Genomic DNA, 12,936 nt, shown 5'->3' on the forward strand with positions numbered 1-12,936 from the left:
CCTTAAAGCTCTGTATGCCTTTCTCAAAGAACAGGAGTAAATCCTTTCATATGTGCCTTCCCTGTGTTTAGCACATGCTAATTTCGTTGCAGGTTCTCAAGGAAATGCTTGCTGAAGACTGCATACATTGAAAAGGCCAGAGGGTGGCACCGTGGTGAACCAAGCCTGGTGACGCCCTCAAGTCCCAGTGCTGCAAGTTGCTGCTGATTCACTTCTCCAATGAGTCCACATTTTAGTATTCGATGGTCTAGGAATTATCATGCACATGTAACTTGGTCTAAACTAGAACAGATTCTTTACTACCAGGATTTACATTTCTGATGTTTTAGTTATTCTGGTTTATAAGAGTCTTCAGAGAATTCCTGGTTTTGTTACCATTTAGCCTGTTTCCATCCTTGTCAAAATATTTGTCTTGACTATTAAGACAGAATAAGGAAGTTATCTGTGTGATGTAGCTGAAAGGGTTAAATTTCTTGGTCACTTAATCAGAGAATCCAAAATGTTTGTTCTTCATTTTTGGAAGGCAAGGAGCTTCACTTAGCCTGAAAATATTCATCAGTAAACAAATAGAATTAATAATATTAATGCCAGGTATGAAAAGGAGGGCTTTTCCCATAAGGGAAAGGATATACTCGGCTAGTGATAGCGGAAACCCGGCAGTAGTGTACAATCCAGTCCCAGGCATATGGCTCAAGTCTGCTGCCAAATCACACAACTTGAAGCTATCAGGTGGCACTGCCTTTGTTAGTGGATAGTGCCATCTTCATACACCATGGGCAGTGACACTTCTATTCCCCTGTCCCGTCTCTCAGAGCTTGTTCATCCTCAGGCCTTTTATACCAATATGTGTATTGATGATCCTTTTAAATAATACTAGGATGTACAGGTTGAGAGCAAGATAGCGTGAGTTAACATTTTCATAGAAACAGAACTGAGACATAAAAAGCATTAGCAGACTATATGTTTTAGCTCATTCTAGTTGTTATAACAAAATACCATAGACTGGGTGGCTTATAAACAAGAGAAATTTATTCTCACAGTCCACAGTCTGACAAGTGCAAGATGAAGGCACTGGAAGATTCATTATCAAGTGAAGGCTCGCTTCTTGGTTCATAGAAGGCATCTCCTTGCTCCATCCTCATATGATGGAAGAGGCAAACAACCTCCCTTGAGCCTCATTTAATAAGGACACTAATACCATGCGTGAGGGCTCCACCTTCATTACATAATCATCTCTCAAAAACCCACCTCTTAAAACCATCACCATGAGGGTTAGAATTTCAGCCCATGAATTTTAGAGGGTACAAACATTCAGACTATAGCACTATGCCTTCATTTTGGGAGCCCAAATCTTTCTAGTGGGATTCTTGAATTTTAAAATGAGCAAAGTTATTGATATTATGTTTCTGTAACTAGATTCTCTTACCATCTCACTTTCCAATTCTGATATAATGACCAGTATAGAAAAAACACTCATAAAATTTGCTTCTGTATCTTGGACATATAAGAAATGTAGGGTCAAAAAGTCTTAAGAGTCAATATTTAAGAGCTATTATACATTTCCCTTAAATAAGAAGTAATGGCTTCTGAGTAAATGTTTTTACAGAACATCTATTTTTTTCTTATGGTTTACTGATACAATAAGTTTGGTCTAAAAGGGAGCAATAGGTTGATCATAGGTTAATTATATAATTTACATTACCCAAAAGCAAAAATTCCAGAAGATATTACATACCAATTTATATATGGGAAGCCAAAAATATTGTTCAGATTTATGCCTTCTTGATTGTTAGTGTAAGTCACCGATAAATATCTGTGTCATCTGAAATTGATTTTCAAAACAATCTTGCTATTATTTATTAAAGTCATGGGTCAACCCAAGTCAAAACATTAGTAGAAAAAGCGTTCTTATTTATGTTAATGACTACAAAAATCATTGAATATCTTTTAAAGTTTTCAAAATGTCTCCTAAAATAGACCTATTTAAGCAATTCATTTTTAATTGAGAATTTTACACAATTATAGAGGTACACTTATGACAAATTTAGCTCTGCTAAATATGATAATAATTTATTTAATTTTCTATTAAAGGGGAAAATAATCCATATCTCACAGGGTTTTATAAGGATAAATTGAGTAGTATATGGGGACACACTTAAATGTTGCTGATATGGTTTGGCTGTGTCCCAACCCAAATCTCACACTGAATTGTGATAATCCCCATGTGTCAAAGGTGGAGATAATAGAATCATGGGGGCAGTTTCCCCCATACTCTTCTTGTGGTAGAGAATAAGTCTCACTAGAGTTGATTGTTTTATAAAGGGCAGTTCCCCTGCACATGCGCTCTTGCCTGCCACCATGTGAGACATGCCTTTGCTCCTCCTTTGCTTTCTGCCATGATTGTGAGGCCTCCCCAGCCATGTTGAACTGTGAGTCCATTAAATCTCTTTACTTTATAAATTACTCAGTCCTAGGTGTGTCTTTATAAGCACCATAAGAGCAAACTAATACAGTAAATTGGTGCCCACAGAGTGGGATGCTGCTGTAAAGACAGCCAAAAATGTGGAAGTGACTTTGGAACTGAGTAACAGGCAGAGGTTGGAACAGTTTGGAGGGCTCAGAAGAAAACAAGAAAATGTGAGAAAGTTTGCAACTTCCTAGAGACTTGTTGAATGACTTTACCCAAAATGCTGATAATGATATGGACAATGAAATCCAGGCTGATGTGATCTCAGATGGAGACGAGGAACTTGTTTGGAGCTGGATTAAAGATGACTCTTGCTATGTTTTAGCAAAAAGACTGGCAGCATTTTGCCCCTGACCTAGAAATTTGTGGAACTTTGAACTTGAGAGAGCTGATTTAGGGTATCAGACAGAAGAAATTTCTAAGCAGCAAAGCATTCAAGATGTGACTTGGGTGCTGTTAAAAGCACTCAGTTTAAAAAAAAAAAAAACAGCATAAAAGTTCAGAAAATTTGTAGTCTGGTGATGCAATAGAAAAGAAAAACTCATTTTCTAAGGAGAAATTCAAGCTGGCTGCAGAAATTTGCATAAGTAACAAGGAGCCAATTTCCCCCCATTTACAGTGGGGAAAATGTCTCCACAGCATGTCAGAGACCTTTGCAGCAGCCCCTCCCATCACAGGCCTGGAGGCTTAGGAGGGAAAATGATTTTGTGGGCCGGGCCCAGCACCTCCCTGGTGTGTGCAGCCTAGGGACTTTGTGCCCTGCATCCCAGCCACTCTAACCATGGCTAAAAGGGTCCAAGGTACAGATCAGGCCATGGCTTCAGAAGATGCAAGCCCCAAGCCTTGGTGGCTTCCATGTGTTGTTGAGCCCACCAGTACAGAGAAGTCAGGAATTGAGGTTCAGGAACCTTTGCCTAGATTTCAGAGGATGTATGAAAATGCCTGGATGTCCAGGCTGAAGTTTGCTGCAGGGGAGAAGCCCTCATGCAAAACCTCTGCTAGGGAAGTTTGGAAGGGAAATGTGGGATTGAAGCCCCAACACAGAGTCTCCACTGGGGCATTGCCTAGTGGAGCTGTAAGGAAAGGGCCACTGTCCTCTAGACTGAAGAATGGTAGGTCCACCGACAGCTTGCACCGTGCTCCTGGAAAAGTTGCAGACACTCAATGCCAGCTCATGAAAGCAGCTGGGAAGCAGGATGTACCCTGCAAAGCCACAGGGGCAGAGCTGCCCAAGACCCTGGGAACCTACCTCTTGCATCAGCGTGACCTTAATGTGAGACACAGAGTCAAAGTAGATCATTTTGGAGCTTTAAGATTTGACTGCCCTGTTGGATTTTGGACTTGCATAGGGTCTGTAGCCCCTTTGTTTTGGCCAATTTCTCCCATTTTAAATTGGTGTATTTACCTAATGCCTGTACCCCCATTGTATCTAGGAAGTAACTGACTTGCTTTTGATTTTACAGGCTCATAGGTGGAAGGGACTTGCCTTATCTCAGATGAGACATTGGACTATGGACTTTTGAGTTAATGCTGAAATGAGTTAAGACTTTGGGGGTCTGTCGGGAAGGCATGGTTGGTTTTGAAATGTGAAGATATCAGATTTGGAAGGGGCCAAGGACAAAATGATATGGTTTGGCTATGTCTCCACCCAAATTTCACCTTGGATTGTAATAAAACCCAGGTGGAGATAATTGAATCATGGGGGTGGTTTTCCCATACTGTTCTCATGGTAGTAAATAAGTCTCATGAGAGATGATGGTTTTATAAAGGGCAGTTCCCCTGCACACAGACTCTTGCCTCCACCATGTAAGATGTGCGTTTGCTCCTCATTTGCCTCCTGCCGTGATTGTGAGGCCTCTCCAACCATGTGGAACTGTGAGTCCATTAAACCTCTTTCCTTTATAAATTACTCAGTCCTGGGTATGTCTTTATTAGCAGCATGAAAACAAACTCATATAGTTGCCTAGGACACAGTTCATACCCAAAGAAAAACTTAAAAAATATTTTCCTTGTTACTTTTCTATGGTAGGCAGAATAATGGCTCCTACAGAGATCCATGTTCTAATTTCCAAAACCTGTCATGGCAAAAAGGGACTTTACAGATGTGATTAAATCAAGGACTTTGAGATAGGGAGATAATCTGGATTATCCAGGGGGATCCGATGTAGTTGCAAGGGTCCTTATTAAGAGGAAGGAAGGAGGGTCAGAGTCAGAAAAATTCTGCGTAATGACAAAGAGGAGAGAAGCAGAGTCAGAGAGAGAAGATACTACGTGAGTTACTTAGAAGATGGAGGAAGAGGTTATGAGCCCAAAGATGCAGGTGGCTTCTAGAAAAGGCAAACAAATAGCATCCCTTCTATATCCTTTCTGTTTACACCTTGATTTTAGCCCCTTAAGACTCAGTTTTGGATTTCTGACCACCAGAACTGTAAGATAAAATCCTTTGTTGCTTTAAACCACCAGATTTGTGGTGACATGAGCAGTAGAAAACTGACCTACACCTCCCTGTTCATGTTCTAGAACTTCTAGGGTAATTCCTCAAGTTTTACCTTTAGGTATCTTCTCTGCCTGTGAGACCATTACCAATGGAAAAGGATCTTCCCATTGCTTTTTAGGTCAGAGAAAGAGAGAGAGGGAGAGAGAGAGAGAGAAGGAAGAGCAAGAAAAAGAGGAAGCAAGCCAGGTAGAGCGGTGAATGCTGTAATGCAAAGGTAACATAAATGTGAGACATTTTTCAGGGGGCGGGGCATGGGGGAAGGCATACTGGAGAAGCTTTAGTGCTGCTAGTTAGAAAGATGAATTTTGGTACAAATAGCGACTCCAGTGTTAAGGGTAATCAAGTCTTAAGTTGTATAAATAATATCCAACATTTCTTTAATAAAAACAAGGGAAATAAAATACCTGTGTTCTTATCCTTCTGGGAAAAATGATGATAGAAAGAACCATTCAGTCATTTCCAAGATGTCACAGGCATTCTTCTAGTAAGGAGGTAGAGGCCATGCTGTTGTTTTCCAGAGGGGTGCTACCAGTGTTGAATGCCACTGAATTCTTAAGTTGCACTTTTAATCTTTCAATATATTTTTTGTTCTGGGAGCAATAATCCCATTGAGACTCAGGGCAGGGAGTTAAGGTACATTTAGGAAATGCTGATAAAAATAAAGTAAGCCCTTCAAAAGATCAGTGAGAAACCCAGGCTCAAGGTCTTGTTGTTTCACCAGCCTCAGTACAGGACAATTAGCCCTGTATCCACTCTACAGGAGGCCAACCGTTAGATGCCCCTTTGCCGTGCAGAGCCTAGACTTGCATAGAATTAGAATGGGTCCCAGCCTCCATACCTCCTTCCATTTCTCAAGAAAATATCATGTATTTTCCATCTCCTTGCTAAATGATTTCATGTAGGGCTTGATTTTGATTTCTCTTAAGAAGTTAATTATCTAGGAAAAAAGGTCATAGCTCATTGCAGCTTTGAACTCCTGGACTCAAGTGATCCTCTTGCCTCAGTGTCTCAAGCAGCTGGGACTACAGGTGTGCATTACCATGCCCAGCTAATTTTTATATTTTTTGTAGAGACATGGTCTCTCTGTGTTGCCCAGGCTGGGTACCCTTTTCTGAAAAGCAGCCTTCATATAGAAATTAGAAAACCTGGGCCCTGTGTAGGGACACAAATAACAGAATAGAAACACGTTTGAAGACCCTAGAAAAAGGAAGCTGGAGTAACAGAAGCTAAAACCTTTCTTCTTTGTATGCATCTTAAAATAGAAGTATATTGATAAAAATGAAGGTATTATAGGAGATTTTGTTTTTAGAGCCAAAAGCTAAGCCAACTCCTTTTTCTGTTTTTACTTCTCTGCTGAATCGCTGTCCTGTCCTCCAAAGAGGACCCTGCCCTTACCATTGCACTTTTGCCTTGCTCTTTTAGCCTCCAAGATATAATCACCAGAGTTATAGTAGATGTTCTTTATTCCTCTTAAGAGATGCATTTTTGCACCTGAACTCTGTAGCTGAACTTCTTTCTCTGGTCTGTCTGATTCTCAGGACTGACTTTTTATTTATTTTTTTAATACTTTGGAAAACTTTTGCTATATTTGGCTATATACATTTAAAGAAAATGAAAGACATCTCATTTTCATTGTTTGGTCTCTAAATCTACCACTGCTGTCCTGTATCAGTTAGCTATTGCTGTGTAACAAGCCAACCAAATTTCAGTGGATTATAGACCCAAAAGTATCCTTTATTGCTTATGAGTCTCCAGGTTAGCTGAGCAGTTCTGGTCACAGCTGGGCCCAGGCACATAGCTTCAGTTAGCTGTGGGTGTGGCAAACGTGGCTCTGATGACCTTGGCTGGTCCTTCTCACGTTCTCCAGAATCAACTGGCTGCAAACAAGTCTAGGATGGCCTCAGCTGTGATAACTGGGATCTCTTCATATGGTGTCTCACTCCTGCAGGCTAGCCTGGATTTGTTCACAGGACAGTGATGGAGTTCTGAGAGAGCATGGAAACCCACACAGCCACTGACGTCCGCCTTAGATTCAGCACATGGTTACTTTCACTGCATTCTATTGACCAAAATAAGTCCAAAGGTCAACTTAAGGCAGAGAAACAGACTCCATCTCTTAAAGGGAGGAACTGCAAATGGAGGGAGAGAGAAAGTACAAGGAATATTTTTTTAAATCAACGAACATATTTCTCTGTGTGGAAAAGCTAGAGCATGCCCTACTATTGCTTTAACAAAGAAAACCATCCTAAACTGGCTTTTGGTTTTGAATACTGTGTTTGGTTCAATGGTTTTAACAAAACAGATGTCAATCTTTGAAAACATAGTCTACCACTTAATTCTTTCTGCTTAGATCTTCCCACAAATATGGAACATCTGCCCTTGAATAGACAAAATAATAAAGAAAAGTGGTATGTGGAGTCTGAGACTTCAGTTCATCAGAATATACCTTTGCTTCTGCAATGCCTTTTAATTACAATAGATTGAAAAACAACAAAAACCTTACAAACAAAACCTCTAATTCTTCTTCAAATTAGTAAAGAAATATACTCCTTGCTTGGTTTCAACAACAAGCTTTCTACTAACATTACTTGTTTTCACACTTCTTACATCTATAGTCTATTCTGGATGGGAGAGTTTTATTATCTCATGTATACATTTAATTAAGTAGCTTTAATTAATAAGGCAAGAAAGTTTTGCCTGAAGAACCCTGGATGATTTTTTTCTGTCAGGGCCAAGAAAAGTTGATTAGCACCTAGAATATCCATTCTCTGGAACTCAACAATGTCTTCAGGTTTTAGACTGAAACTGACATTGCTCCTTTTGAATAAGGGTGAATTTTCTTCTCAGAGACCTCAGGTGTGTACTTTTCATTGGCTATTTGAGTGTCTTCTCCTAATAAAGACATCTTACTGGTCTGTTGGTCACTGGTTTTCCTCCCTAGCCTCTATAGGCTTTCTGTAGCTTGCAGTGTAATTTTTCACATGAACAATTTCTAAAGAGCAAACAATTCTGCATAATGCTTGTACATTCATTTCTCCAGAAACTTGCTATTTATCTTTCAGGAGAAAATCTACTTCTTTCAATGTGTGGTCCCATATAGGTTGCAGAGCAAAAAAAAAATTGTATGTGAAAATGAGATGAAAATCTCACCTAAGTGATATATTTGTGTGTGTGTGTGTGTGTGTATAGTTCAGAAAGCTACACTTTTTTCTCTCTGCCTTCCATATTTTCTTTAAATACTTTTAGTTACTAAAGTCATATTTTCAAATATTTATGAAAAAAAATGCTGGACAAGCCTTAATTTAATTACAATTCGTTGTTTTTTTTTATGGCGTCTCACTCTGTTGCCCAGGCTGGAGTGCAGTCGTGCGATCTCAGCTCACTGCAACCTCTGCCACCCGGGTGCAAGTAATTCTCCAGTCTCAGCCTCCCAAGTAGCTGGGATTACAGGCACCTGCCACCGCACCCAGCTAATTTTTGTGTTTTAATAGAGATGAGGGTTCGCCATCTTGGCCAGGCTGGTCTCGAACTCCTGACCTTGTGATCCACCTGCCTCAGCCTCCCAATACAATGCATTCTTATTAATAGCTTGTAAAGGGCCACTGGCACCTCTAGGCTTTTCGTTAGTGTCAATTAATTATGAATACGCTTGACAGAAAGATTCAGTTATCCAATGGGGATATTTTTGATAAAGGCTTTTAATCATACAGAAGCTCACTTCTGAATGTGCCGTAAGTGGTAAAGGGGCTCTTCTCTTAAAAGGCAGTAATCCTTTACTGTGGAGGCTCACAATAAAAACACAGCTACGATATATGTCAGGGCTCCTCCTGCTTCTCAGACTCATTGTCCAGAACTTTAATTTTTCAAGAGGTAAAGCACTGAAGTTATTCCATCCAGAGGCACACACATTCTTCAATTTAGTCTCTATCTTGAATCCCTGCTTGATTTTCTGTCCTGGAGAAGCAAGTCTGAACAATCTCCATTTCCCTTTGTTGAGCTGCTACCTAGCAATATTCATGTAGCATTGTTTGTGCTTGGCCTGACTGACTGTCCTAGTATTAAGTATCTTTGTCATTATTATTGTTAAATATTTTTGAGCTCTTCGTACATGCTGGGAAGGCTTTGCATTAGGGTGAGATGTTGAGAAACCAGTCCCAGGTGGAGAGCAACCAGTCTATCATATCTGCCTATTTCTGCCAAATGCTTCTTTCCATTGCTTTGGGAAAGAGCTGTTTGTTACTATGGTTATTTTTATTATATTGGCAGGAGATATAAAAGCTTAGCTGTCTGCAGTTCTGCATGTGATACTGGGATATATAGGAGAACAACTCTTTGGGGTACAGCTTTTCTTCCAATTCCGTTCATCCTCTCTATGACCAGACCTTTCCAGGGTGCTGCCGGGCAGGAAAGCTGCCTCGGTTGCAATTCCATCTCAGGAATTCTGGGCAGCCAACTTTCTACATTTTGCTTTGCCAACATTATTCCACCTGCTTTCTTTCAGACCATTTTGTTTAACTATCTCCCTCTGCTGATGCCTTCACCAATCCCCCAACACACACTTTCTTTGCAGTTGTGGATTTACTTGTTGTTTTCTTATTTTTCTGAAATTTTAAGTGAGTCTCAAAAGAGGGAGGGTAGGGTCACCCAATTTACTAGATAAATACAGGACACCCAGTTACATTTTAATTTCGGATATACAACAATATTTTGTAAGTGTGAGTATGTCCCATGAAGTATTTGGGGTACGCTGATATTGAAAAAAATTAAAATAAAAATCTTATTGTTTATCTGACAGTCCTAAGAGGTGAATCTCACCTACTGGCACATTCAGGCTTCTGTCGTTAAGTTGAACCTTCTTCTAGATTTATGATGCTTCCTTACATTTTGTAGCAGTCCCAAACACCAAGAATATATGAGAGTAGGTTCAAGGTAATTTCAACTTTCTCATAATCTTCATTTCGTTGGTAGCTTTTCAGTTATATTCTTTATCACCTTGTTAGAGTAAAATATAACATGTGGTTATTCTAAATGACCTTTCTTCAGCCTTTTTCTGAGACTGTAATAACCTCAAGGCTAAAATCCAAGAGCTCATAGAACTGTATTTATTAACGTTTATACAGAACCCATTTTGAAGTTCAGGCTCAGTAGAAACAATCCTTTCAGAGTTGAGATAATTTTTCCAGAGGGATAAAACATGGACATCATTTCTTTTTCACTTATCTTAACTACTCTGTATCATTTTCATTGTAGCTCATGATGACTTCTTCACTAGAGCAAGCGGAAAGAGAGCGCAGTTATATATGCAGATGGCCTGGCTTTATTGTCATGAAATAGAATGGATTTTGTTGAAAACTAGTCATGTTATTTAATTACTAACAAGAAAAAATAAAATACAACCAAATATTCTAAATAAAGCTTCATCATTTTGGGTGCCCCATATTACTTATCCAACTTGCATCCCCAACTGTCTTAAACAATGAAAGATTTCCCCTATCTTTGAATTAATTTTTTAAACATTTTAATTCGGAAGGACACCTTAAATTTACATTACCTACTGTTTGACAGGCTCTGGTTGTTAATGAGTTTCGCTTTTGTTTGGTTTTTGTTTGTTTTTTTGTTGTTGCTACTGTTTTTAATAATGTAAGGTCATCATCATTTGTGTACATTTGAGGTAAAAGGCCAGACTCAACTCTGGAGGTGGAGATTTCACAAGGGACCAAATGGAGGACTAGCTTACACAGGGCCAAGGCTAAAGCAGCTTTCCATGGACACACCCACCAGGGTGCCATGTCAGTTTACCATTGCCATGGCAACACTTGGACGTTACTGTCTCTTTCCATGGCAACAACCTGACAATCCAGAAGTTACCACCCTTTCCCTAGAAATTTCTGCATAAACCACCCATTAATTTGCATATAAATAAAAGTGAGTATAAACAGGACTGCTGAAGTGCCTCTGAGCTGCTTTTCTGGGCACACTGCCTGTAGGGTAGTCCTGGTCTTAAGGAGCAGTACGTCTGCTGCTGTACACTGCTGCTTCAATACAAATTGCTGTTTAACCCACCTGTTTAACACCACCAGCTTACCGTTGAATTCTTTCCTGGGCAAAGCCAAGAACCCTCCCTCTCTAAGCCCCAGTTTGGGGGCTTGCCTGTCCTGCATCACAGTGACTTTTCTGGAGTTAAGTGGTTGCCACGGGTGCTATAGTGATGAGAATTGAGGTCTTGATTGGTCACTGGTTTGCTTGTTAAAGTGGAGCTGGAATTAGTTCTGGGTGATGACTTTGACTCTGTTTTCAGGTTCCTGGGATTCCTGCTTGTAGGAGCAGGGTGACTTCTGCTTAAGTATCTGTTTGCATCACATTCCTCACCACTCAGGAAAGGTCAGTATGGGAGAGCTGCATTTTTGGTTCTTATATGAGAATAGGATCTAAAACTTGTCATCAGTGTTTTGCCAAAGCTGAAGCAAGAGAAACACTGTGGATGGACAAATACCAGGCAGATGTGTCTATTCCTTTATGCTTTAAAACTCAACCTGTTGTGTAAGCCAGAACAGAAAGGAACTCAGAACTCATCTGGGCCATTTTATGTTATCCACCTGAAATTGCTATCCCCATCTCCATGACACGTTTTTCTCATGCAAATAACTTCCAAAGAAACAGAGTTATGCAAATCATGTCTTTCTTTACCACCTCAAAAAAATCATGTCTTTTGAGGATGCGGCATACTCCATTAGCAGTTGTCTTCTGTTCATAAGGACCCAGAAAATTTTCTCCAATCCTAATACCAAGAATAAATATGTTTCTTCTTGGAAGTCTATTTTTTTTTTCTATCTTCTGAACACTGTGAATTGTACAACATGGTTACATCTCTTCAGTGATTGCAGGAAAGCTCAGAACAAAGTGTGTAGATTTTGAGCCAAATTTGGCTCAGAGCTAAAATCATATTTAGCATTAGGTATGGAACTCAAAGCACCATTTGTGTGTGTGTATGTGTGTGCACTAATCTCATCTCTGGCTATACTTTTTCTCTATTTTATTCTAATCTCACCTATTTTAATGCCTTTTATTTTCTACATATCAAGATTAAAGACATATATAGAAACATTTTTAAAATATGAACAATCAATAAAAAATTTAAATTAAAAATGTTAAAATATCAACAAAAAATTCAATTGTGCATCTCTCTTGCCTTACATACGTGTGTGCCTGTGTATATGCACATATACATATAAATTAAATTTTCTTGTATGTATTTTTATAAAGTATTTTTTCAAACTTAAAAATCAATCACTTTTTTTCACATAGGACTACATGGCATTCCATTTTATAAGTGTGTTATAATTTATTTAAAGAGCCTTTTACGTTGTCAGACATTGGAGTGTTTTCCAGATTTCTGCTGTTATAAACAACTGTGTCACACTCTCTTTATAACAACTATTTGTGCACTTTATTCATGAATATATTTCAATAATTCTTAAGCATGGCTGTGCATCAGAATTATTCTGCCTAATAATCTCTTTAAATCCTTTGAGACCAAATTTAAATTTTACCTTTTCTAGAAATAATTTCTAAGGAAGCCTGTCATCTGTCCTACAGAGAATTATTATACTCTCTAATATTCCCCATAGACTTTTTATATATTTTTGAGGGACGTTAAACTATTTTTAATGTATCTACTTCAATAACCAAGTATTGTATTAAAAGTGGCTTTTAACCAAGAATGTGCATCAGAATGCTATATTTGTGAAATACACTGTGAGTTCTGCTTCCCCTAAGGATGCAGAAAACCTCAAGAGAATGGAGCTCCTGATCTGACATAAGAAAAAGCTGGGTAACTTACAAAATAATACCTATTTTATTTTTAGGTTACCAGATTAGTGAGGTCCATCCCATGGCAACAAAATGAATGAAATTCCAAAGAGTGGCACCATTTGGAGGAAATATGGGCACATGACCTGCTTCACCTTTTCAA

At 39.0% G+C, this 12,936-nt stretch overlaps 1 annotated feature.

The window, feature by feature from the left end:
• Positions 10,621–10,915: a silencer, noted in NCBI's record as "tiled region #8261; HepG2 Repressive non-DNase unmatched - State 24:Quies". NCBI's record gives its function as "represses a minimal TATA promoter and a strong SV40 promoter by Sharpr-MPRA in HepG2 cells {active_cell/tissue: HepG2}" and the evidence as "EXISTENCE:reporter gene assay evidence [ECO:0000049][PMID:27701403]".

Source organism: Homo sapiens, chromosome 21, assembly GCF_000001405.40.
Source record: "Homo sapiens chromosome 21, GRCh38.p14 Primary Assembly".
NCBI lineage: Eukaryota > Metazoa > Chordata > Mammalia > Primates > Hominidae > Homo > Homo sapiens.